The following is a 25,784-nucleotide window of genomic DNA, read 5'->3' on the forward strand; positions in this document are numbered from 1 at the left end:
AGGCAGCAGGGAGGTGGCTGGGAAGTGGGGCTTTGAAGGAAGGCCTCGGGGGGATGGTCCAGGGAGAAGAAAAGGGTCTAAGGCCAAGAGCAGAGACCCTACAGCAGGAAGGCCAAGGTGGACCCTCAAAACAGAGGAATTCATCACAAGGACAAGGACCGAGAATCAGGCAGGCAGCCCCAGCTGACACTCACAAGGAGATTGCACAGTACCTTGGAGGCAGGCACTGCCTTTCAAGCCCGGCGTGTGTAACTGTCTTACTAGGTTGACTCATTTAACTGTCCCCATGGCCCTGGACATGTTACCAGTATTGTTCCCATTTTACATGGGAAGAAAGAGAATATGGCTTTAAATAAAAACGACGTCACTGGATACCATGACGTCTGCCAGGAAGACAGCAAACTTTCACATAGAACTGGAAAGATATCAATCCACGGAGTTGCAAAAGAAAAGTATTAATAGAGAAATGCTTGAGTCCAGCAATGGAATCTGCCACTAAGAAAATTTCCAGAGACATTAGAGGCCATCCATCATTTCCTGCCAATGGCTCTTGGGAAACATTCCCAAGCTTTACACAGCAAATATGTAGTTACAGCCTAGATATCCAGGTGTGCATGTCTGCAAGATGAGTGCTCCTGAAAACACCTATAGGTTTCCAAATGTGAACAACTGAATACAAATGCTAGCAATATTGCTTCACTGGAAACTGTAGGAAAAATCAAGAGTAATTCTTAAAGCCACAGGGAGGGTGGAGAAAAACACCCTAACATCAGAAATAAAATTTACAAGAATTAGCAAATATTTATAAAATTCATGACAAGCTAAGTATCTGCAGTGAGTCACTCAGATTTAACTTGTCTAAACTCATGGCTTTGACAATTTTAACATTTCCTCTTTTCTTTGATATTTCTCATGGTGCTATTCCATATGTAAATAGTTTTAAATCTGCACAGTGCTAACGCTGGAATGCAAAAACACTTTAAGCAGATAAACTTAGAAATATGAACTCTAGGAAACCCTCTAGGTAAGGATCCCTAACTAAATTACTTGAGCACAGCTGTTAAGTGAAAGCACAACCCTAGACATTGTGGAAACCCTTAAGCCTCCCACTAAGGGAATTCCCATTAGAGCTCGTCTCTAAAATCCGGGCCCTGGCGTTTCTACTGTGAGCTCACAGAGCAGGCTGGGAGTCTGTTGGCTTCACTGGGAGCTTTTGCTCAGTGTCTAAGTCAGGCAACCGAATGAGAGAGCGGGTACGGAAAAGACAGGAAAAGAGGGTGTCGTGTGATTCAGGAATATCAGGTTAAGGGGACCCCACGGTCATTGAGACCAATCACACTCTGCAAATCCCTCTGTCTGTGCCAATGCAGCCTCCGCCTAAAAGACTCCGGTGATGGGAGAGACATCTCCACGTAGGAGCCACTGGATCTTCCAAAGTTCTGGATTTGAAAGAGCTAAGTGTGCACGGGGCTTGGCTCCGTGCAGCTTCCACTCGTGGTCCCGTGGTATCAGGAGGGCAGTCGGGACAAGCCCAACCCCTTTCCGTAACACAGCCAAGTGTTGGAAAGCCTGCCTTCTTACTGTGTTCTTCCTCTCATGTGGATGACACCAGCACCTTCATTGTTTCCTACAGGGCCTGCTTTAAGTATTCATTAAATATTTATGGGACACCTACCAGGGCTAGGCCTGTGCTATGCACACACACCAGTGCCCAGGGCCCTGATGTCCCAGTGGGTGAGGAGCTGGTCCCTGAGCATTCTCTATGAACATGCTCTTCGTGGCTTCTTGCCCTTAGAAGACAGGATGTGGACTGGACACAGTGACTAGGGTGTGGTCTGACCACCAGAGACACCTACCTTGTGGTAGCTTCTGCTGCACCCTGAGAAACCATCTGGATTAAGTCCAGCACTGTTAAAAATTATGATTCAAAATGAACAAGCTGCCCTACTGCTTATTTTGAAAATAATGTTCAACCTATTATCTGTTTACTTTACTGGTGACTGGGGGGCTCTCAGTACCCAAAACACAGTTAAAATCTATCAAAGTAGCAGAGAGGAAAACAGACTCCTCAAAGATCAGCTGTGCAATTAATCCATGGAGAGCCTTTCTATCAGAAAAATGAAATTAGATTCCTATATTATTCCATATACAAAATCAAACTGAGTATAACAATTTAACAATAAGGAAGAACAACCCAGTCTTTATGTTCTTAAGTGGGAATAGCTTCTTTAAAAAATTCAAAATAAAAGCACAAAAATATTGAAAGTTAAAAACTTTCTTCTTACAAAAGAACTCACACATAGACAAAGTTAAAGATAGAAAACTCTTTGAAGATGTTTGCAGCATTTGTGACAAAGGACTGATTTCCAGAATTTATAAAGACCATCAACAAAAAGACAGTAACCCAGTGGAAATATAAACAAAGGGTATGAGCTGGCAATTCGCAAATGGGAAAACCAAAATGTCCAAGTAAATATTTGAACAGATACCCAGCCTCACCAGTAACAGGAAAATGCAGATGAAAATATTCCATGCATTGCGTGGGCAAAACGTTTGAAATGTCTGAAAGCATCAAGGAGTGCCCCCTCTGTTAACAGAACTCACAACAGAGGGTAATTGGCAGTACCAACTGGAAATGCGCGTATGTCACGACACGGCTCCATGCCTACATGCACAACTGCCAGACACATGCAGCAACGTTCAACAGCCCAGATGAGGAGGTAATGCAGGCGCTCATCCAAAGGGGTACAGATAAGCAAAATCAGTGACACCTGAAGGAGAAAAGATGGCTTGCAGAAAAACATGTACAGTATAATTCCATTGATGAGACTTAAACACACAAAGCCATTCTATGCACCGTTTATACACATTGTTTATGCATACATTGCTTATATGTAAAGACGTGGATAAGAAGGTTTGCACACGGAATTCAAGCCAGTGGATGGCGTTGGTGGGAAAGGAAGGGGTGGTGGGTGCCACTGAGAGCTCTACAAAGGGAACGTCAGCTTTATCTTAACATGATCTGAGGCACATGGTCTAAATGTGATTCTGGCTCGCCAGGGACTCAAATGTTATATCTAAGTTTTGAGTGTTGAATGTCAAATCATTCTCTGCACTTTCCTATATTTAATTTCCTGCCACATCGAAAAACGGAAAGCACAAAAATTAAATAAATATTAAACCGGCACTCAAGTGGATAATTTAACAGCCTCTAATTACAGACCAACGGATTGAATTAGGATCATTAGAGCCCCGGTGTCCTTTAGTACTGTGCTGAGGGATCACCCACTGCTTATGTGTACCCTAAGTATGCAAGCCACGAGCAGTCATACCCAATGGGTGGCTCTTCACCAGCCCTCCAGGGCCCCGCCTTCAAGGGCCAAGAGTGAGGTTAACGGAAGGGACAGAAACCCCAGAAAATTGCTCTCCTGGGAGTTCCATCTGGGTAGCCCCGTTTCCAGCATTCTTCTGCTCTCACCGTACCAGCCCTGACAGCTGCCTCAAGAAAGGCCAGGCCGGGCGCAGTGGCTCGCACCTGTAATCCCAGCACTTTAAGAGGCCGAGGAAGGCGGATCACCTGAGGTCGGGAGTTCAAGACCACCCCGGCCAACATAGTGAAACCCCCGTCTCTACTAAAAATACAAAAATTAGCATGGCATGGTGGCGGGCGCCTGTAATCCCAGCTACTCAGAAGGCTGAGGCAGGAGAATCGCTTGAATTTGAGAGGCGGCTGTTGCAGTGAGCCAAGCTGAGATCACACCACTGCACTCCAGCCTGGGTAACAGAGCGAGACTCCATCTCAAAAACAAAAAACAAAACAAAAAAAGACAGGCCAACAGCCCTGGGCTGAGTACCATTAACACTGAAATAAATAGGGCCCCATCACTAATGCTCTGCACAGATTGTGTGCACAGGGCTTTTCAAATGTCTGTCCACGCACAGGAGTGAACAAAGGCAGCTCAAGAAGAAATCTCTTCAAGAAGAAATGTTGAATTCTCTGATTTCTCACGAAAACATTTATTGCTGAGGGAACCCTTGGTGTGGTATCCTCTCCGGTGTGGGTCTCAGAGTTGTGTCATAAGAGAGACACAGACCTATGATTCTAGTTAAAGGAGAAAATGCATTTGCGTGGCAAAATGCAAAAAGTAATGCTAACCTGCAACCAAATCCATGAGGATTTCCCTTCTGCCTCCTCCTGACACAAACACGAGGAGCTGTGGCAGCTCTCCCTGCGGTGGCCACGGGAGGGGAGGACGGCTCTAAGCTGTACTGCATCCTAGGTCCTTCATCCGCCTCTCATTCCTGCAGCATCCTTCCCAGCAACACCTTCCTCTTCTGTGCTTCTCTCCACTGCACCCACCAACATGCCACACTGCATACTTTTTATTACTCATAATGTCTGCTCAATGCATCATTTCATTAACTCTTAGTTCCAAGCTAGCAGGGATTTTTCATTATTTTGTTAACAGGTGAATGGAGCACTCTGTGTCCCGTCCGTGCCTGCAAAACACTGAGAAGCCAGACACACAAACAGACCCCATAGAACGGGAGCGTTCCCATTATGGAGGCACAAGTTGCTCTGACTAATGGCGCTGAAATAACGCAAAATCATCCACCTACCAGAGAGCAGAATTCTTCCCAAGACATTTGTCACAGAGCTAGAATACTGGTATGAAAGCAGCTAGCGCACTTCCCCAAAGACACTCTGGTAACAAAAGAGGACAAGAATGGCCTGCTGCAACACATACACAAACTAGCACTTATGTACTTGATTTCTGCATATCTCTCTAGCAACTGGCCCAAGACCCTGGAGCCGAGGCCAGCTCCGTGGCCCCCACCAGCCAGCATTAAACTTGCAAACTGTCACCAAAACACGGTTCACAAAGGAAACTTCACAGCTCACTCTCCTTTTGAGGATGGGCTATGAAAACTCACACTGCGGGACTTCAAACTCATGGTGCCCAGCACAGGCCAGGACCCTGGTGCCATTCCCCCAGGAAGGGCTGGAGAACACTGCCCTCGTGAACATGCCCACAGAACGCCCAGCAACCAGGCCGAAGAACAATCCCAAACCCAAGCACACTTCCAATTTCAGCGACTTTAGCCACATCACGGCTTTTAATGAGTGTGGAACATGAAAGACACAGTTGGGCAGGTGCTTGAGGCCACACACACTTACACATCAGCAGAAAGTGCTGGTCCTTGGTTGCTATAACAACAGTGCCACCTAATCTACAAAGAGCTTGGAGGCCTCTCCACACCCCGGGGAGCTACCGCCGTCTCTTGTAACCCTTTGGTATATTGAGACATGCACACACTGACACGGGCATTTTAGGACATTTTTATGCCCCTGGCGGCGCCATGCATCCTGCGAGAGGGATTCTCTGCCTTCTCTTTAACTTTTCACCCGTAGAACGTTAACAAACCAGGCCCACGGCAGACAGGGCTTTGGCTGGTGGTCAGTGCACAGCAGACAGGGCTTTGGCTGGTGGTCAGTGCACGGCAGACAGGGCTTTGGCTGGTGGTCAGTGCACGGCAGACAGGGCTTTGGCGGTGGTCAGTGCACGGCACCATCTCCCTTAGCAGCAGAAACACAGAGTGAGACAATGAGAGGTCTGAATATTTTCCCTTTTAATCCAGCTTCTGGCACTTTCCGAAGATCTGTCTTTCCTGTCAACCACCGAGTGCAGTGCTGGGGCCCTGAGCCATCCCACCCGTGTCTCAAATTCATACCCTGAGCACCTGAGTATCCCCTAGGAAGTTCTGTCTCCCATAGACAGGGGTAAACACCCACCCACGCTAGTGTGGTCACTCCCTTCCATTCCACACAGCACTCTGCATTCATGAAATTCCATCCACCGACCTGGATTTTCCTTTTTAAAAAGTCTCTGAGGACAGCCAGCCCTGTGGATGCAGTGGCCTCTGGGGGCTGGTGGCAGGGTCCCTGGCTCTCCAACTGGGAGGCAAAGGCACCGGCCTCGGCCAGCGTGTGCAGGGGTTCCCCGTGCCTCTGGGCCATGCTGGCCTCGCCGCAGACCTGAGACGCGGCCCCGGGCCCGGGGAGTCGGAGGGGAATGGGAGCGTTGCTGCCCGCTGAGGCCTCTGGGGGTAGGCTGGGTCCCGGGGGCCTGCACTCCTTTCAAAACACAGGCTCTATGGCGACAGACTTAAGAAAAAACGGTGCTGGGCCTCAGCCCCCAGGGACTGCCTCAGAGGAGACTGCGCTGCAGCAGGGCCCAGGCTGGAGAGCCGCGCACCCGTGCAGCAGGGCCCACCCTGTGGGCCAGGCCCAGACACCCCCGAGGGTCCTCCCGCGCTGCCCCTTCAGACCTCTGCAACATCTGCTTGAGGGCAGGCCCCAGGAGAGGAGGAGATGACACCTGGGGGCATGCAGGCCTGGGCTTGGCTCTGGATTTAAAGCGGCACTCCACGTCCCTGGCGGCGGTGGGGTCGCGAGCCTGCACCTGACTCCAGTTGAAGACACTAGAGGGAGCACCCTCAGTACTGGGCCCTCCCTTCCTAAAGCTTAGGGGGCCTGGGCCTTCCCCGGCTCTGGGAATGGAGTCTACCTCTGCCTGCCTTTCCTCATGGGTGCACTGGGCTGTATGAGTCAGCTCAGGCTGCGTAACAAATAACAGAGGCTCGTGGTTGGAACAGCAGACATTCACTTCTCACGGTTCTGGAGGCTGGAAGTAGAGATGAGGATGTTGGCAGGGTTGGCTTCTAGGGGGACCTTGCTCTTTGGCTTTGGAGACAGTGTCCTTCCCCCTGTCCTCATGTGGCCCTTTCTCTGTGTGTGTCTGTGTCCTAATCGGCCTTTTTTTTTTTTTTTTTTTTGAGAGAGAGTTTTGCCCTTGTTGCCCAGGCTGGAGTGCAGTGGCGCCATCTCGGCTCACTGCAACCTCTGCCTCCTGGGTTCAAGCGATTCCCCTGCCTCAGCCTCCTGAGTAGCTGGGATTTCAGGTGTGTGCCACCATGCCTGGCTAATTTTTGTATTTTTAGTAGAAATGGGGTTTTACCATGTTGGTCAAGCTGGTCTCGAACTCCTGACCTCAGGTGATCCACCTGCCTTGGCCTCCCAAAGTGTTGGGATTCCAGGTGTGAGCCACTGCACCCGGCCCTAATCTCCTCTTATCATAAAGACACCAGTCAGATTGGACAAGGGCCCACCTTCAAGACCATTTTACCTTCATCACCTCTCTAAGGACCCTCCCTCCCAATACAGTCCCATTCTGGGGTCCTGGGCTTAGAGTTCCAACATACATTTGCGAGGGCACAGTTCAGCCTATAATAACAACAGAACCCCAAAGCCTGGGTTTCCACCCAATATTCACTCAGAGAACGAGAGGGGGTGACAACAGTGCCTGGGCGCTGCGGCAAAAATGCTGAGAGCTGGCAGCTCCACGTGCAGCACTGTTCTATCTACCTCGGGTGTGTGAGGCTGAGGAGACTCTCAGGCCTGCCACAACTCCCTAGTGTGTCATGGTTTAAAAATTATCTACCGAAATGTGGAGGTTAGAATCCATCGTCTCTACAACTGGTGACTCAAAAAATAGAGACTAATTTGGAAAAGAGCTGTCAGGCCCAACAGAATATTAATGTTGCTGCTGTGGTTGCCCAGTGAGGACATGAGGAACGAAACACAGAACATCACTCGCTCACATCTGAGCCAGCGGTGCTGCTGTGAGTCTCTAAGAAGTATCCGTGTTGCAGCTACTGAGACACGCTTTTTCCTGCCCGGGTCACCTTCCGCCTCTACAGATTTCTTTAGATGGTCCTTTCAGCAAAGAAGCCAGTGGACAGCTGAGTGGCCAGTGCCTTGGGACGCACACACCCAGCTGGAGTATGCAGGCTCTCCCCAGAGCAGGCAAGGCCATGTGATAAGAACAACACCGAGCTTTCCTCTGAGCTCCTGCACCCCTGCACCTACCAGTCATGTGACTGGATCCAAACTCACCTGTTGAGGCTAATTTCCCATTTCAGTATCTGGGATAAGGACACAGGAAAACTCAGCGTGTGTTTTCCTGTTCTCACACAGTCAACCCAACACTCTGACACCATATGTTGGAGACCTATCAAAGTGTTTATCCTACTCTGTACTCTCAGGCAATACCACATTTCACCTGCAGTCTCCACAGTGCCTGGGGATTTCTTCCCAGCAGCAACCGATCAGTTCTGCACAGACACCAGCAAGATGTCCTTTAATTCAATTCGAATTCTGACACTACCGACCTGGAGATAGCCTCAGATTCCACAAGTTGAGGGCTCAGTCCCAGAAGGCTACCCCTCACTTCAGATGCCAGTCGTAAGCCCCAGGCTGTAGCCTGTGCTTTTAACCAACTGGCTATAAATAGGGGTTCCTATTGTCTTCAACTAATTTGCTTCAAGTTCCCTCCTTGTCTTCCACTAATTTCAACTAAATAGGGGTTCCTATTGAAGGGGTTCCTTCAACTAAATAGGGGTTCCTATTGTCTTCAACTAATTTGCCTCAAGTTCCCTCCTTGTCTTCAACTAATTTGCTAGAGCAGCTCATAGAACCCAGAGAACCACATTATTAAGGTTTGCTGGTTTGCTGTAAAGGATATTACAGGACACAGATGGGCAGCCAAATGGAGATGGACATGGGGTGAAGCATGGGGAAGGGTGTGGAGCTTCCGTGCCCTCTGGGCAGCACGACCCTGCGGAATCCTCCGGCTGTTCAGTAATCCGAAGCTCCCCAGCCCCAGTCCTTTTGAATTGTTATGGAGGCTCCATTACATAGACGGGCTTTATCAAATCATTGGCCATTGGTGATAAGCTTGACCGTCAGCCCCTCTCCTCTTCCTGGGGGTTGGGGGTGGGGATGAAAGTCTCAACCCTCTAATCCTGCCTGTGGTCTCTGGGGTGACCAGCCCCCATCCTGAAGCTACTCAGGGGCCCTCAGCCACCAGTCCTCCCATTCGTGTACAAAGGACACTCATCACTTCACCGATTCCAAGGGGTTCAGGAAATGGGAAGAAAGAGCACATATATGTATTTTGGTATCGCAGATACTGCCTGCCTCAAGGATTGTCAGGAGCACTCAACCATAATGGAAGAATGGCCCAGTTGGAAGACACCTTAGAGGCTATTTCAAACTTTTGCACACCGACAATGTTCTACAACATCCTTCACAAATGCACATCGCATGTCTTAGTGACACAAGCCCGACTCACAGATTTCCAGCTTTGTGCAGCTATGTGTGGCCGCTCCTCCTCCTCCTCCCAAAGCTTCCTTCCCCCTTTCCACCACACAGACTAAGGCATGAGGCTGGGCAGGGGGAAGGGGGATACTGAGTGAGGAAAACAGAGAGGGCGGTGGAGGTGGCCACACAGCATAGCTGGTGTGCTCTTTACAGCAAGGCTTCAGAGCAGCGCTGGTGTGTGCGTGGATGCTGAGGATGAACTCAGGTCCAAGCTGCCTGACTGTACTCCCATGGGTACGCCTAGCTGGGGTGCTTCCTTTCCAATGCAAACGACCTCTGCAGGAGACAGGATGGCACAGGGGCCTCCTCCTGAAGCTCTTACAGCAGATTCTCGACCTCTGCAGCTGTGAGAAGGCAGCGGCTGTGTACGGACACAGAGCAGACACAGGCACTGTGCAGAGGGGTGTGTGCTTGACATTCTGCCCTGAGTTGCCCATGCCAGTGAATGTGCCAACGGTCCCTGTAGATCTGCAGGAGCCTGGAAATGTCTCATTTGTCCCGAGGGCAAATGCTGGACAGGGGGTGGTGACCAGGGTGAACGAGACTTATCCTGTCACTTTTGTATAGACTCTGTAACTTTAGAACCATGCGAAGAGATTACTTCTGAAAAATGGAAATTAGCAGCAACCGTAGAGGAAGCTGGTCAGAGGAGTGTGGCACGTGCTGTCTTCAGGAGGGCGGGATGAGGGCAGCCCGGGAGGGAGTGCGGGCCAGGCTTCCGGCTCCATGCTCCCACTGCCAGCGCCACCACCTCCCCAGGCAGGAGAAACAGCTAAATCCTGAAAACTAACAAGTAATGGGTGTTTCTGCGGTGTCTTCCACCGGCAGAAACTCCACCGAGTGCCTCAGCGAAATGACTCCATCTGATCCTGGCCACAGGCTAGTGAGGGGGAACTGCGCCGGGAAAGATGCCGGTGCGGGGCTGGAGGATGCTGGGCAGAGGGGGCAGATCAGCCTCCATGGGGGCCCCACCTCCTCGGGCCCCCCATCCCCTTGGGCCCCCACCTCCTCAGGCCCCCACCTCCTCGGGCCCCCATTTCCTCAGGCCCCCATTTCCCTGGGCCCCCACCTCCTCAGGCCCCCATCCCCTTGGGCCCCCACCTCCTCAGGCCCCCATCTCCTCGGTCCCCCATTTCCTCAGGCCCCCACCTCCTCAGGCCCCCATCTCCTCAGGCCCCCATCTCCTCAGGCCCCCATCTCCTCGGGCCCCCATCCCCTTGGGCCCCCATTTCCTCAGGCCCCCATCTCTCAGGCCCCCATCTCCTCGGTCCCCCATTTCCTCAGGCCCCCACCTCCTCAGGCCCCCATCTCCTCGGGCCCCCATCCCCTTGGGCCCCCATTTCCTCAGGCCCCCATCTCCTCAGGCCCCCATCTCCTCGGTCCCCCATTTCCTCAGGCCCCCACCTCCTCAGGCCCCCATCTCCTCGGGCCCCCATCCCCTTGGGCCCCCATTTCCTCAGGCCCCCACCTCCTCAGGCCCCCATCTCCTCGGTCCCCCATTTCCTCAGGCCCCCACCTCCTCAGGCCCCCACCTCCTCAGGCCCCCATCTCCTCAGGCCCCCACCTCCTCAGGCCCCCATCTTCTCGGGCCCCCATCTTCTCGGGCCCCCATTTCCTCAGGCCCCCATCTCCTCGGTCCCCCATTTCCTCAGGCCCCCACCTCCTCAGGCCCCCACCTCCTCAGGCCCCCATTTCCTCAGGCCCCCATCTCCTCAGGCCCCCACCTCCTCAGGCCCCCATCTCCTCAGGCCCCCATCTCCTCAGGCCCCCATCTTCTCGGGCCCCCATCTTCTCGGGCCCCCATTTCCTCAGGCCCCCATCTTCTCGGGCCCCCATTTCCTCAGGCCCCCACCTCCTCAGGCCCCCACCTCCTCAGGCCCCCATCTCCTCAGGCCCCCACCTCCTCAGGCCCCCATCTTCTCGGGCCCCCATCTTCTCGGGCCCCCATTTCCTCAGGCCCCCATCTTCTCGGGCCCCCATTTCCTCAGGCCCCCATCTCCTCGGGCCCCCATTTCCTCAGGCCCCCACCTCCTCAGGCCCCCATCTCCTCGGGCCCCCATTTCCTCAGACCCCCACCTCCTCAGGCCCCCATCCCCTTGAGCCCCCACCTCCTCAGGCCCCCATCTCCTCGGTCCCCCATTTCCTCAGGCCCCCACCTCCTCAGGCCCCCCATCCCCTTGGGCCCCTCTTCCTCAGGCCCCCATCTCCTCAGGCCCCCATTTCCTCAGGTCCCCATCTCCATCCTCCTTAATGTCTGCACTGCCTGGCTGGGAGCTGCAGCGGGAGCCTGGCCTCTCCTCCTCCTCCTCCTCCCAAAGCTTCCTTCCCCCTTTCCACCACACAGACTAAGGCAGGAGGCTGGGCAAGGGGAAGGGGGATACTGAGTGAGGAAAACAGAGAGGGCGGTGGAGGTGGCCACACAGTCAGCATCGGAAGCAGAGCTGGCATGTCCCTTCTGAGTCCAGCCCGGCTTGAGTCAGCGGGGAGGGGCAGGGAGGAGGGGGCCTTCCTGGGAGAAGGCAGGGGCCGCACCAAGTGCCCCTGAGGTGCCCATGCCGGAGAGAAGTTGGCTTCCTGGAGCCCCACTCTGTGCTACTGTGAAGGGCGGTTCCATCCGCCTAGGTTTTGTTAGTTCTGTGAGCCATACAGGATTAGCGTGCCCTGCAGTGCTGCAGAGACATCGGGCGTGCTCCCCTCCTGTGTCCTCAGCTTCTCCCCTGGGGGGGTGCTCACCAGCCCAGGGCCCCACCCCAACCCTAGAGGTCCCTGGGATTCCCTGAGTTCTCACCAGCCTTGGAGGCCCCGAGTCACCCCACGCAGTGCACGCACATCTGTGACACACTCCTCCCACACAGTCTCCCTCAGCCCCTCTTGACCCTCCTCCTCCTCAGACACACGCCTTTCCGGGGCCTGTACTTGTCAATCCCCAGACATCCCTGGCTGCTTCCTACATGCCCAGGCTCTGCGCTTGCTGGCCCAGGAACTGCCCTCCGTGCCTCTTCTGACTCTGTCACAACGGGGGTTTCTGCATCTGTGCTGTCTTCCCTTCTACTGTGGCTGAGGACCGCAGGTGCCACCCGAGCCCGAGCTCCTTGAGCATCCCTTGTGCCTAGAACATGCCAGGCACGCAGCACAGATGGGTGTCATTGGTCTGGGACATTGCCACGGAAGTCTCCAGCCCTCATGCACCAGAAAGAGAAGAGTGACAAGGATCATACTGAGGAGGTCAGGAACTCTAGCTGAGAATTGGTCTAAAGCAATGGAAATGGGAAATTCTGTAAATCCAAGCTCTGCTCCTTGGAATCATTTAGAAACTGGCCAAGGGCTAAGACATCCCTCTTGCTGCGTAGACTGTGATCATATTCAGGAGGAAAAGCACAACTCTCTGAGGGGACAAATTCTATTTGCCTAAACAGAGGTGAGGCTGCTGACACTCTAGAAAGTGTGAAGTGTGCTTTTGTGACCGAAGCTGGCCTCTGCATCCCCTAACTCAGCACCTCACAAAGTTTATAACCCTCACGCAGTGCCCCCGAGCTGCAGGTGACGGCAGGCCTCCAGGTTCAGCGGTGAAATAGCGGAGCAGTAAGATCTTACAGCATTACTTCCCCAAGTCAGCCGGAAGTTTTGCCAGCCCCGTGCTCCTCCCTGAAACCTCAAAAAGCCTGCTTCCAAGCCGCCTGCTTGTTCTTCCCAAGGTGGAGGCAAGACCAGCGCCCTCTGGCCAGGTGCGTTCAGGAAGGGGCAGAGATTACACAGGAATTCAGATGAGTTCCAGGGACGGCAGCTGCCAGGGTCCCGTCAAACGCACAGTCACAGGAGGGCTTCCCCTGAGTTGGCCCTGAGTCAGCCAGCTGGGCTGTGGTCTGCTCTGCAGCAGGAGGCAGCTGAGCAGAGCCTGTAACCCCTCAGGGGAGGCAAAGCTGCACCGCAGGGCGTGGAGGAGGTGCAGGCCGGCCAGCCCAAGGCAGATAACAGATGGCGACAGGGGCTTGAGGCTTGGCTTCTCTGCTGGCCTAGGTGTCTGGAACGGCTGGGCCGCCACTGGAGCCGTGGAAAGAGGGGTCTAAGTGTCTGAGCTTGGAATCAAGGTATTCCCAAATTTTCTGCTCGAAGCCCCACAAGTTTCCATTTTCCACCACAGCCAGTTGGATCAAACTTTGCACCATTCGCATCCTAGTGAAGTCCAATAGTCAGCCGATTTGGGGATTCTATGCAAAGCCAAACAGTGGCACAGACTCTAGGAAATCTACAGAATGAGCAGAACATGTCTTCATGACGATTCAAGGTCAGGCCCTGTGGACCAAGGACAGCATGGAGCACAGAGGCCAGACTCCGTGGAGCACAGAAGCCAGACGCTGTGGAACACAGAGGCCAGACTCCATGGAGCACAGAGGCCAGACTCCGTGGAGCACAGAAGCCAGACTCCTTGGAGAAAGGGGCCCCAGAAGACAAAGGGGCCAGCACAGGCCAGCCAAGGAGTACCTGAGACCTCAAAGGCGACACCAGGTCCATTTGTACCTGGGTATTCAATGTCTCATGTGCATTTGTTAGAAATTAGATAAAATCAATGCTTATTATTTTAAATAAAGACATCGTTTCTAACTATTTTAGTCATTAATAACCTGTGATCTTCCAGATGGGCCGGCCTAGCCAATGGGCGGTATAGCCACAACCCAGGTCCTCTGTGAGTATGATGAAGACATCACACAGAGTGAACAGCCTCTGAAACGTAGGGCTGTGAAGCGCGTCCACAGTCACCGCAGAGCAAGACCAGAGTACACATCCTTTACCAACCTCAGCTTCACATTCAACAGCGAGCGGACACACTGAAGTCTAGAGAGGCAATTTAGAATGAATGGAAAGAGAAACCTTAAGAGACAGAAAGGCAGAGAGAGATTTTTCAAAATCTTATTTTATAATTAGTAAAAATATAGGAATACAGTCACTTCAAAAGCTGACATTAGCTAAGAACATTAATGGGTTATTAAATATTTAATTTAATTCAGAGATGATAGACCCATAATGATGATTAAGGTTATTATAGAAAAGGATGATTCTTGGTGTTAGAGATCATTTACTCAAACCCTTGTATTTTAAAAGAAAGAAAGACTGAGACTAACAGAGTTAATTGATTTCTCCCAAGGAAAAGCACGGATCACAACCTGGTTCTCCCACCTGCGGTCCCCACACCATTTTATGTGGTTGTTAGCCTCTCCCCCTGACTCTCCCCATAGTTTTGTGCTTGTTGTTGCTGGTTTCTTGGTAAAATCTGCATCAAGTAGATGGATACTCTTGGGGTAATGGTGGCCCACTCCCTAACCACTGTGTTAAGCCTTGTATACTCTGCTGAGTAGGTAAATATTTTTGTCCCCTAACTCTGCACCTGGATTTATTTGCTGTGAAACGCAGGGCCCATTCCTACCGACTATAAGCAATTTATTCTGTGGGTTTAGTCACTGCAGAGGGCAGAAACAAGATACCACTCCCTTTATGGGGCATTAAAAACAAACTCCTCTTTGCTGGTGACCCTGTTTCTGTAGGAAGTGTGTGGTTTACCTAGAGCAAAGGGGCTGGCTGTCCTGCCAGACTTAAGCCAGATGTAGGGCTCCATCTATCTTGTTCATGGTTTCACCCCAGTCCCCAGCTGGTATAACCGGAGCACCCAGTAAAGAAGAATCTACGCAAGGGAAGAACAGTCCCCCTCAGGCTGAACAAGGAGACGCCACCTCTGCTTATACAGCAGCACTCAACTGACTTTCTCTGTCCATTCTTCACTAAACTCCTTAAAAATAAAATTTTAGTTATAACTTCAGAAAATTAACCTCTGTAAAGAATCAATAATATACTTTAAAACATGTGTAATGCTGTTGGAATTTTTTTCTTGTCTTATGAACACAAAATGTCCTATATTTATATAAAAATCACTGTGTTGACCTTTCTACATGTTCTTCCACAGCTATCTATTAATACTATGACATCATATTGCAAAAACAAACACACACAGCAACTCGGATGTGTTTGATAATAAAATCACACAGCAGTTTAAAAATTCATCCACAGGGACATAAAGTTAACTGTTGTTATTATGAAAGTTTGTCACCTCCCTACAAACACATCTTGACTGTTATTTAGATTGTGTTAATGTGTGGTGTTATTATAATAAAGCCCTTATTACCACACTTATTGTGGTTGTTAAACAGTCATTAGCAACCATGAAACTGGGAAAATACACTGAGCTGCGTTGCCCATGAGCTATCACGGTTAATAATGAAGAAAACAGATCAAGAGCTCTGGGATCCTCTACAAGAAGATGCCCACTTTCCCGAAATTTCAAGAGAGACGACTGTCAGAAACGTACTAACCCAACACAAGCATGATGAGGAACCCAAATTCTGGAAAGTGCCTTTGGCCATGCTTGAACTTGATCTGTAATGCTCTCCTGTGCCGTCCGTCTTCCCGTGAGAATCCAGCCCCGAGCCCCAGCCACACAAGACCTCAGTCTCCCTGAGGCCCGAGGTGCATGCAGTGATGACTGCCTAGGACCGCCTCAGTGCCTGGAACGGTTTCTCAGGCACAATTCTCACCTATTTTTGCATTTCCCACATCATGTATGTTGGAAGAATCTTGAATACACAAAAGCTACCAGTTTTAAAAACAACTGACAGTGTTTTAAAACTTAGGCTCTATTATTATTCAGGTGTGGCAGGGCAACAGGTCAGGAGACAACTGTCAGCGAAAAGAGAGTTTGTTACTCACAGATCCCAAGAGAGGGGGCCAAGCCCTGGGGACCACTCAGGGATGCACTGAGCCTGTCTGGAGGCAGAGGGGTGCAGGAACGTGTGGGCAGGGGCCTTTCACGTGGCTTCCAGGGAAGGAACAGGTGAGCCAGGGTGAGCCTGCATGGGACTGGTTGGTAAGGGCAGTTCCCGTGGGCCCTGCTGCACAGGGGGTTGCCCTCGCTGGCTGGTACTGGGCCCTGGGAGGATTAGGGCAGGAGGATGTGGCCCAGAGCGTGAGAGTCCATAAAGGAGGTGGTGGGGGTGGGCTCTGGTTTGCATTTGAAAAGTGCACTCCTGGGTGAGTTGCCTGCTGTGTCTGGGAATTAGAAACCCTGGGGGAGCAGCCTCTCCAGGGCCAGCAAGCCTCCCCCTGCTCCCCACCAATGTCAAAGCATCAGATGCGGAAAATGACAAGGCCTGGTTAGTGTAGACAGGTAGAGGTCCCTTTCCCAGTCCTCAGGCTGGTGTGCTGCACCCTCCCAATGCCATGTTTGACCATTGTGGTCTCAGGGAAGGGCTCTGAGATGGGTGCCCAGGGCGGCGGGTTCAGGCCCTGCCCTGTCGCTCACTCGTCACAGGGTGAACTTGGGTCAGGAATCTCAACTCTCGGCCTCAGCCTCCTCATGTGTGCAATGAAGGGGTTGGGCTCTGTGATTTCAATGACCCCTTCCAGCTTCCAGATTCCACGAGCCCCTCCTCGTAACCTGGAACACAGAAAATCTATAATCCTGTGCTTGTCAAGGAGCCCAGACCCAGGGCCACTGAATTCCAACAAATGTATGATTCCTCAGCCAAAGCCGTGAAGGGTGGCTTGGAGGTTTGCATCCACGCATACTTCTAGGTGGCCTCAGATGGCCCCTGGGGTAAAGGCAGATCTTCCAAGGGCAGCTTGCTGGTCTCTGCAGTGTGGATTCCCAGTAGGAGTGCTTTCTCTGCTTTCCGTTTTAGCCTTACCGCCCCAGCCTACAACCCCGGGCATGGCAAAAACCTTATGAAGAGATGCATTGGGCCTCCTAGATGCATTCTGTTCAGGGTGTTCACTCCTTTATACGGTGAACTCTCCAGGAGAACCAGCAGGAGATGTTTCTTACAGGGCTCGGAACAGAAAGAGATGTGTTTACCTACACAACTGGGGTTTATTTATTTATTTATTTATTTTGCTTGTTTTGTTTTTATGTTTCCAGTCTGCCCTGCTGCGCTCCACTCCTTGAGAATCCAGCAATCTCAGAATCACACCCAGGCCCACCTTCCGCAGGGCTGGGGGTCCTTTCGACACGCACCATGGCTGCTGCGCTCCGGCCCAGCTTCCTACCTCCTCCTTTCCTTCACCTAAACAAACGCACTTATGGATTAGCTTAGCCTTGTATGGAATATAGGTAAGTTTACTGACATCTTTCGGACGTAAGACGGGGTGTCGGTAAGGAAATACCCCCACTGATGTGACTTTATTTAAATCAGAGCAAACAACTGCATGAGAAGCTGATGTCAAGATGTAACGGACTCAGGGCTGAGCTGGGTAAGGAGCTGGAATTCACACTTAGAGACCTGTCTGTGCTTGTCACGTGTGGATAAGCCACTTGTTTTCTTTATGCTCAGTTTTCTTAATTCCAAAAGTTGAAGTAAACAACTTTCATTCACATTATATAATTATTTAAAATAATATTATTTCAGGAGTAATTTCAAAATAAAATATAAATATTCCTTAAAATTATATTCTGTGGCCGAGGCGGGTGGATCATGAGGTCAGGAGATGGAGACCATCCTGGCTAACACGGTGAAACCCTGTCTCTACTAAAAATACAAAAAATTAGCCAGGCGTGGTGGCAGGAGCCTGTAGTCCCAGCTACTCGGGAGGGTGAGGCAGGAGAATGGCGTGAACCCAGGAGGCAGAGCTTGCAGTGAGCCGAGATCGCACCACTGCACTCCAGCCTGGGCAACAGAGCGAGACTCCGTCTCAAAAAAAAACCAAAAACAAAATGTGCACACAGTTGGAAAGTCACAGATTTTCTTTCAAAATAATGTCATACCCATGGGTCTGTCAGTGATTTCTAGAACACTGTATTTCATATTTTTTCTTTTTAAAAAGAATTACATGAGTTACACTTAACAGCAATTTCTCAACAGATTGTAGGAGCAATTAGCATGACCTGGTTTGGATCCTAATCTGATGCACTCTGATTACATATGATTATAAACACGTTTGGGTTAACTCACTTAAAAATGGGCAATCTCGGCTGGGTGTGGCGGCTCACACCTGTAATCCCACCTCTTTGGGAGGCCAAGGTGGGTGGATCACCTGAGGTCAGGAGTTCGAGACCAACCTGACCAACATGGAGAAACCCCATCTCTACTAAAATACAAAATTAGCCAGGCATGGTGGCGCATGCCTGTAATCCCAGCTACTTAGGGGGCTGAGGCAGGAGAACTGCTTGAACCCGGGAGGCGGAGGTTGTGGTGAGCCGAGATGGCGCCATTGCACTCCAGCCTAGGCAACAACAGCGAAACTCCGTCTCAAAAAATAAAATAAAATAAAAATAAATAGTAAAATAAAATGGGCAACCTCAAGGGTGGGAGGAATGAGGAGTGTTTAATGGGAACAGAGCTTCAGTTTGGGATGATGAAAACGTCGCGGAGATGGCGGTGGTGGTGGCTGCCCAATGTGAATATACTTAATGCCGCTGAACTGTGCACTTAAAAATGGTTAAAACTGAAAAATCTTACGCACATTTCACCATCACATAAAAAAAAGCAGAAACAATTTTTTAAAGGGCAAACTGCTAGCTCTTGAAGAGTTGGTTCTCTTCACCCAAAACTTTACCTTTTAGTAACAGTAAAAATAAACGTCAGCTTTGTCATATTTTCTCCCCTTTGCTTCTGCACTTGCAGAAAAATTACGGACACCCTTCCCCTCAGTTGTGAAAATACACTTGGGAACAGAAACATTAAGTTTTCTTGGGCTCAAACACACCCTCAAACACAAGATAAATTAAAAACAAGGCAAACTTCAGCCAGACATGAGGACCTGCTCTTGGCACCGCTCCGAGACCTGTGTTCATGATCTGTGAGATTCCACTCCGCCCAGAAAACAGCTTGCCCCTGGCCGCCCAAGCTCTGTCACACCCGTGATTTCCCAGCAGTAAATAAAAACTGCCAAGCTCCCTGGGACCCCCATTTCCTGCGAGCCCTCCCTTACCTTTCTGAGGAACAGTCTCTGCAGCTTCTTGTGTGGCAGCCTGATCATCATGATGCACTCCCCAGGTCCCGGGGGCCGGGCTCCCCTTGCCGTCCAGCCATTCTGCCAGGGCAGCCGCCACTCCTTTTATCACCTTGTGGGCTGCTGCGCCCGTCCTCGTCACCAGGCAGCCACCCCGCACACCTCCTCTTCCCTCCCCTCACCCCTCTCCAGGCAGCCACAGATTCCCAAGCCGGGAGTCCTGCCCCTCACAGGCACCAGCTGTGAGTTGAAAAAACTCTGGCTGCAGACAAAACCCCCGCTTTGCAAACTCAGAAGCAAAGGAGAGAAGCTGAGAAAACCTCAGCCCCGAGGCTGGCCTTCTCCTCTGATGAGAATGCGAAGTTACTCATGCTGCTCCGAATCCCAGCAGGCTGGAACACAACATCTGGCAGAAGCCGGCAAAGCAGAAGCGTCACTTAGAGGCAATCAAATGTCAGAAACCATCAAAGACACTCTGAGGGGCAGGCCTGAGGTCCTCCTCAACGCACACCTGCCCCCACTTGCCCACAGCCAGGCTGGCAACGTGCCTTAGCAGTGCATGAAAAGACACTTCGGTCCTTCTCTGTGTCATTTAAACTGAAAGGAGGAGGCAGGCGTAGGAGGAAGGTGAATGAAAATGGTTGCTTATTTCTTTAGGTGGCGCTGGGTCAGTGAATGCACACCAAGGGTGCGAGGATGTCATCACCCTGTATTACCCCTCCAGATGATGCCTCCGCCCCAGAGACACAGGCACGTGCACATGCATGCACGTTCTCTCTACAAGCTTTTCCCGGGCTAACTCGGAATATGTCCTCTCTGGCTAACATAAACATTTGCTTTGTTTTCCTGATCAAAACTGAATTCCCATGTTTCCAGAACATCAGCCCCTTTCTTGCTTTCACTTGCCATGGAGCCCTGCCTTGGTTCTGCCAGAAGCGTCCAGGGCTCCGTGTGATTGGCAGCTGCTGAGTACAGGCGGCAGGTTCAGAGTCAGACCCAGGACACTGGCGGAGTTTCCTTTGTTTACTGGTATAGCTTCTTGTTAATACATAAATAGCTTTCTCCTCTGAAAACCTACAGATGCAACAGAAGAGACCTACCAACTGACAATCGCCTTCGAGGTGACAGACAATAGAGGCCACGGCTAAGGATGCAGGTGTGGAAATAAACAGATATAAAAACACAGGACTTGAAAAGAAGGAAGCAAAGGCAAAGAGGAAATTTAAGACTGAAATGGACAGAAATGACCTTGATTTAGGGTAGTGCATTGCTAAAAGACGGGGCCCTGTCCATCCCTTCCTTACTCCAAGACATTGAGATAAAGAATATTTCCTTCCCAATCAGACAGAAATAGTTGAAGTGCAATCGTCCTTTCTCCAGTGGTTGCTATTTCAGGAAATGGGTTCTACCAAAACAACTTTTCACCCATTTCGTGGCTTCCAGAGCACACATGGCGTATGTTCTTTCCCTTGAATGCAGAGCTGATTAAAACTCATTTATCCAGGTCAATGTTGCATTCGTGTGTGTGTGTGTGTGCACATGTGTGTGCCTGTGTGTGCAGGTCTGCGTCTACACAGATACATACATACTTCAGGTAAATAACAACTGAAAGGAGCTTTGGTCAGTCCTTCAGAGGGACTTTCTAAGGGATCATTTTTATTAACCCTACTTTCCACTATGGGAACTTTATTAAGAACCTATAATGTAACATTTTTAGAAACACATGCCATACATCTGCCATTATATACACATTTTTTTCTATTCTGGAGCCGTTGGCAAATATTACTTCTAAGCAGAACGGTCACACTTCTGAGCTGTTACTTTGAGAATAGAGCACGGTTTGTTCACAGGCCAAGTTATGGCAACAGAAGAAAATGCCTCTGTCTTCCAAAATTTCTCAATTACCTTTTGCTACTTTTGCTGGCCCAAAATAATAACACGGGGAGATTAATAGAAAATAAGGCTCTTTCTAGTCTCACGAAATTTCGTCTCTGTGATTTTATGTGAGTCTCAGCACTGCTGGTGTGTTTCAGCCTTGACTTCTCTCTGTGAAATCATCAGGAGCTTTAAAACAATCCCAGTTCTATTTCTTTTCTCCAAAATGAATCCACATCCACATTTCACCTCTTTGAAAATGCTGGATCTTAAAATATATGTGCAGCCTTTCACAGAAATAGGCACTCCTGCTTCCTGGAAACACACTGCTGGCGTCTTCTCATACCGTCTACCGCTGGCTGCAGCCTCAGCTCCTGCGGAAGACACAGCCGCAGCCGAGTCCGTATCCTCGCCCAGCGGTCAACGCAGCGCCGTTCCCACCATTGTACAGAGAGGTTTGTGCTTGGTGAAGCCCTACTGCAGGGGATTTCTGAGTGTCGAAGGAGGACAATATAAAATATTTTCCTGAAAACTTAACTCTGTGGTCCTTCACAAATACTTTGTTTTAATTTTAAAATATGTAGTATTCAGGCTTGATTGAGATTTAGAAATTTTTACTAAATTTTTGTTTGAGGGTGTGGTGTTGGGGCCCTGGTATTGTTTCAAATACACAGGAATAAAAACGGAAGGTTTCTTTTGGCTATCTGTAACCTATTCATTCGGTTGGCAAAGATGCGTAGCTCATGTAGGGCAATGTTCCCAGCTTAGGCAAATCAGGGGCACCTGGGGAATGGCGATTTGGAGAGAGGAAGGTGGGCTCATTCTGGTGAACAAATATTTCCTTAGGTAATTTTGCACACAGAGTAAAAGTGAAAGGCTTCTTAAGAAATTGTGTTTACAATTGTATAAACATCTTCTTTCGAGGATATATTGAGCTGGTCTAATCTCCAAAGGAAAAATACCCAAGTCAAGCAAAGCAATTGAACTACATCGAAGATGAACTCACCAAAGCGATCTACTGAATGTCAAAGTGATAAGATCATCGCACAGAGTATGTGGGCACCGCCCCCACCCCCATCGCGGTCTGGTTTGAGACTGTGAGGACTCCAGGTTGATTCTATCGCTCCTGGCAACAGGAAACTAGCATAGGTTAGATCAGTGCAAGCCACGGAAAGCTTGAAAATGGCTCGGCCAAAAATGCTCATCTTTCCTGCACCACATATTTTGCTGGAATCGCTTGAAATAGCCTGCTCACTGGCAATCCCTCTTCCCATTTCCAACCTGATGGCAACGTGCATGGATACTGAGTTGGGGAAAGAAGAATCGGATGGGGGAAATGGAGGCACAAAGGGTCCGAATAATCCTCACCTACAGTCATTTGGGTTTTGGTATCTGTATTTACAGTTATCCTAAATACAATTCAATCCAAACTTCCATAAGAATTAAAAGGAAATTTTCCAGGACTTGGTACTTTTGAAAGTGCATTAGCAAAATAAATCAGGCCTTTGGTCTCTGGCTAAATGGTGGTCATGTGAGAGCTAGTGGGTTTGCAATGGAAACCCTTCATTCTTAATGGCATTTAATTGCAGGTGGATGTGAGTTTGCGAACTGAATGTTGTCGTGGTGATGATGGCAAGAAATTGCCTTTTATTCATTTCTGAGACCGAGTCTTGCTCTGTTGCCCAGGCTGGAGTGCAGTGGTGCGATCTCGGCTCACTGCAACCTCCGCCTCCCGGGTTCAAGCAATTGTTGTATTTTAGCCTCTTAAGTAGCCACCGCACCCGGCTAAATTTTGTATTTTTTGTAGAGACAGGATTTCACCATGTTGCCCGGGCTGGTCTCGAACTCCTGACCTCAAGTGATCTGCCCGCCTCAGCCTCCCAAAGTGCTGGGATTACAGGCATGAGCCACCACACCTGGCTGCCTTTTATTTTATGCCATGGGGAAATCATCATAACAATCTTGGCTTACTCATCTACCAAATACATTTTTAAAGACATTATTTTGAAAACATCTCTGGCTAATTGGTGAAAAGCAGCTATTACTGTGTATTGGCTATGGCTTTAAAAGCATTGCTATTGTTGACAGGTGAGCATCCACCTTCCAGCAGCAGAACCAAAACGCTCACACAATTCAGCCCAAAGAATAAACAACCACGACACAGCGGAAAGCATCTGTTTCGTGTTTCCATTAGACCATCAGCGTCTCAGCCTGGAAGCAATATTTTGTGTCTTCCTCTGAAAAACCTAGTAGTTCACTTCCATATCTTTGGACCCATAGAGAATCAGACGGATGATTTTAGCCTGTGTTGAAGACATCACTGGGAGTGAGTTGTACCTTTCCCCTTCCTAGGCCCCGGGGAGATAGGAAGGTGGGACCGCACGGCTGTGTCCTCCCCATTGGGAATGGAGTGGAAGGGAAGTGTCTCCTCGCATTTGAGGCAGCGTTGAAGGCGCAAGTTATCCCCTGCACCCCAGTCTCATGGCGAGAACAAAGAGCCCAGGGAGGGTAAAGCTCCAGATGGGGCAGCCTCGTCTCCCAGCCCCCTGGACCTCCCAGAAAGTGGCCGAGGATAACCCTGCCTGTGACCTCATGGAAAAGAAGCCTTGCAGACAGGAGTGAGAAGCAGGCTCTATCACGTGGAGGCCCTGGTGTCACCACAGAGGTACATGGTCTGTCCCACCTGGACCAAGACAAGTGGCAGAAACCTTAGGTACTGGTTTCACCAAAAGGAAACTGAGGCCCAAAGAGGCCACACATCCCAGGCACTAGGACAGTGGTGTCCCTGCGTCCTCCCCTCCCTCAGTCTCCCCACATTTTACCACATTCTCCCTCAGACGCAAAACCGAATCATGGCCTCTCTTTACCGCTCAGCCATGTCAGCTCAACCTTAGCACCGTTCAAAGCAATTGGTATGCATGTGTGTGTTCATGCAGTGTGCGTGTGTGTGTTTGTATGTCTATGCGCATATGTGTGTGTGTGTGCATGTTAAACGGAGGACGGAATATGAAGTTCAAATTCCCCCACGGCACCTGGCGTAGTCCCTGGCACATGGAGTGTGTAAAGTCATGTTCTTAAGTGAAAGTATCTTGGGAAACTGGCCTCATTTTCCCTTACGCAGCTGATCTCGAATCACACAGGATCTCGCACTGGGCTGTAAGCCGGCACCAGGGTTACAACCTGCTGTGCACCACGGTCCCTGAGAGACTCAGCCTCACATGAAAGTCCTGTTTGCTCCCAGTTCACAGGTAAATAAATCAACAGCTCCACGGAGAAAGAATAGCACCTTCCCATCCTGTCCACTCCCAGGAAACGACCTTCACTTCTGCCCCGACTTCTGGGAGCCAACAAGGAAAGCGGAGCAAGCCATGACCCTGAGCCTTGCACCACGAGATTTGAGGCCTGTGGGCACCGAGGCTACTGCAGAGCACAGGTGGAAACACAGGTACATAGGTGACTCTCCGTAGGTCAAAGAAACGGTTTCACATGCTTCTGTGATAACAGCTGCAAGCATGAATAAAGTTCAGTTTCCTTTGGAAGGCATTGATGGTTTCAGCAGCTCTCCTCAATGCGTGGATAGCAAAAATATAGCTACTACAAGGTGGGGTCTGTGATTTATTGTTATTACATTTCCAACAGAGTCTTAAGCTAAAAATATTTGGGACCCAGTAACTGAGAAGTCCTAGCAGTAGTATCAGGATCACAGAAGGAACCACATTTCCTGCCTTACAGGTTTGGTTTCCAGACTTAGCTGAAGCCTGTTAGATGGCATTCGCTTAGCATGGAAAAAGCAAAGCCAAGAATAATTTTAAATTCTTTTGGAGTCATTAAAGGGTTACATTAAGAAAATGGAAAAATATTATTTCCACAAAATAAACTGCAAGAGTAAATTATCTTTGATTTCAGCAAATGTCTGCATCATAGAATCACAGTTAAGACCCTAAAGCCACATGGCTCGGTTCAAATCCATGACTCCCCTACTTGGCTGTGTCACCTGGTACAACTTAATTGCCTCCATGCTCTTATCTGTAAAATGGGAGAGAGCGGCAATGAGAGTGACTACTTCATCTGGTTGTTGAGGGTCAAATGAGTTCACATTGCAAGGTGCTTAGAACATACTGAGTATTCTATAACGATTTACCAAAGAAAAGCAAAGCAAAAACAGGAGCAAGGAAGGGAACCTTGGATTTCCTTGGGGGAACAACCTTGGAAACCAAAAGTTAATTAAGAAAGAGCTGTCAATTTCTTTACCTCCTCCCTGTACAGATAAGAGCATTGAGAAAAGGCGTTTCGTAAGTAGTGAGGCACCACACGGATGAACGGCGACGACCTTGTTAGTTCGCTGTTACAGATCAAGTCCCAAGGGCCCCATGATAATAACCAACTGCAAACGATCCCAGCAAAACCAGAGCTGTGCCTGTCCGTGTACCTCGAGAAAGAGGGGTGCACCCAGCAGTCCTTTAAAGATTGTTTTCAGATCCATGACGGCACGGCCGGCCTTGTCTATGTCCGTCACCAAATGCTGAATTGTGTGGCAGACACAACACTGTCCATGACCTGCTGTAAAGCAGCTTCTGTTAGGGTTCTTGTTGTTCGGCTAGAAAGAATGCGAAGTGTTTGGGGAGTTGTGAGCGTGAGGAATTGCCATGTGCGGGGCTTCTGAGTGCCCTGTGCCTTGCATCGCTGCCGGCTC

At 50.0% G+C, this 25,784-nt stretch overlaps 1 protein-coding gene across 6 annotated transcripts in view, besides 1 other annotated feature; it reads right to left on the reverse strand.

Moving 5' to 3' along the window:
* Positions 1-25,784, reverse strand: part of RPS6KA2 (ribosomal protein S6 kinase A2) — a 453,410-nt gene that overhangs the window by 328,968 nt on the left and 98,658 nt on the right. Inside the window, exon 1 of one of the 6 annotated variants that reach the window (XM_047419234.1) lies at positions 19,196-19,575. The exons of the other annotated variants lie outside the window; for them this stretch is intronic. Coding sequence (XP_047275190.1) covers positions 19,196-19,246 — 51 coding nt within the window. The 5' untranslated portion in view covers positions 19,247-19,575. Of the gene's footprint in view, positions 1-19,195; positions 19,576-25,784 lie in introns of those variants that run through there. 6 annotated transcript variants of the gene reach the window in all.
* Positions 4,121-4,289: a silencer, noted in NCBI's record as "fragment chr6:167155940-167156108 (GRCh37/hg19 assembly coordinates)". NCBI's record gives its function as "represses an EF-1alpha promoter that drives an FKBP-Casp9 reporter gene in an ReSE screen in K562 erythroleukemia cells {active_cell/tissue: K562}" and the evidence as "EXISTENCE:reporter gene assay evidence [ECO:0000049][PMID:32094911]".

The sequence above is a fragment of the Homo sapiens genome, chromosome 6 (assembly GCF_000001405.40).
Source record: "Homo sapiens chromosome 6, GRCh38.p14 Primary Assembly".
Lineage (NCBI taxonomy): Eukaryota > Metazoa > Chordata > Mammalia > Primates > Hominidae > Homo > Homo sapiens.